This window comes from Homo sapiens, chromosome 9 (assembly GCF_000001405.40).
Source record: "Homo sapiens chromosome 9, GRCh38.p14 Primary Assembly".
Classification (NCBI taxonomy): domain Eukaryota; kingdom Metazoa; phylum Chordata; class Mammalia; order Primates; family Hominidae; genus Homo; species Homo sapiens.
This window is the reverse complement of record NC_000009.12, coordinates 94,536,031-94,537,129: the sequence shown is the minus strand read 5'-3', so window position 1 is coordinate 94,537,129 and position 1,099 is coordinate 94,536,031. Positions and strand designations below refer to the sequence as shown.

The 1,099-nt window shown below is 42.6% G+C and overlaps 1 annotated feature.

Annotated features, from left to right (window-relative positions):
* Positions 587–756: an enhancer, noted in NCBI's record as "experimental_110264 CRE fragment used in MPRA reporter constructs". NCBI's record gives its function as "activates a minimal promoter by MPRAs in K562 erythroleukemia cells, with activity observed for both the introgressed and non-introgressed 9:97298741 variant alleles {active_cell/tissue: K562}" and the evidence as "EXISTENCE:reporter gene assay evidence [ECO:0000049][PMID:34662402]".

Below are 1,099 nucleotides of genomic sequence, written 5' to 3'. Positions count from 1 at the left end.
TAATTTGTGTAGAGATGGGATCTTACAGTGTTGCCTAGGCTGGTCTGGAACTCCTGGGCTCAAGCAGTCCACCTGCCTTGGCCTTCAAAGTGCTGGGATTACAGGCATGAGCTACGGCACCTGGCTAGGTATTCTTTATATATTCTGGGTTTTAGTCTTTTCCTAGTTATATGTGTTTTAAGTATCTTCTTCTAATTGGGAAAGAGAATGGTGTCTTTGGATAAACAGAAGTTCTTAATTTTCACGTTGTGCAATTTATTAATTTTTTTGTTGTTAATAAATATTAATGTAAAAAAATGAATTGTCTGTCGTGGCGTAGGCCTGCCCCAGGAGGGCGTCATATTACCACATGATTTGTGTGCAATTATTCAATCTTGACTGGTGTGTGTATGATGATTTTGTATCTTGTTTAAGAAGTCTCTCCTTGGCTGGGCACGGTGGCTCATGCCTGTAATCCCAGCACTTTGGGAGGCCAAGGCAGGTGGATCATGAGGTCAGGAGATCGAGACCACCCTAACATGGTGAAACCCCTTCTCTACAAAAAAAAAAATACAAAAAATTAGCCAGGTGTGGTGGCATGCTTCTGTAGTCCCAGCTACTTGGGAGGCTGAGGCAGGAGAATTGCTTGAGCCTGGGAGGCAGAGGTTGCAGTGAGCTGAGATTGTGCCACTTCTCTACAGCCTGGGTGACAGAGTGAGACTCTGTCCCCACACCCTCGCCCCAAAAAAAGTCTCTCCTTGTCTGAATTTATAAAGATATTCTATTATGTTAAATTGAAAGTTCTGAATAAGGCACCAAGAAACAATAGGTATCATATACTGTAATTAACTGTGAGATCAACCACCCTACAGGAATTTAAACACAAGATGACCAACAGCCATCATCTATACTGAGGACATTAAATGTTTGAAAGAGGAGAGATGTGCAGGGGATTTTTGTGATGATTTATTTAGAGAAATCTTCAGGTGGGCTGCTGGTAAGCTGTGACTTGTCTCTCTCCCCCAGTCAAGTCTAGTGAAAGGGGTTTCAGTAGAATCTCTTGAAGGCTTGACATGTCTTCTGCATTTAGGGACACAGAAGACTGGTATCTGATTCACAC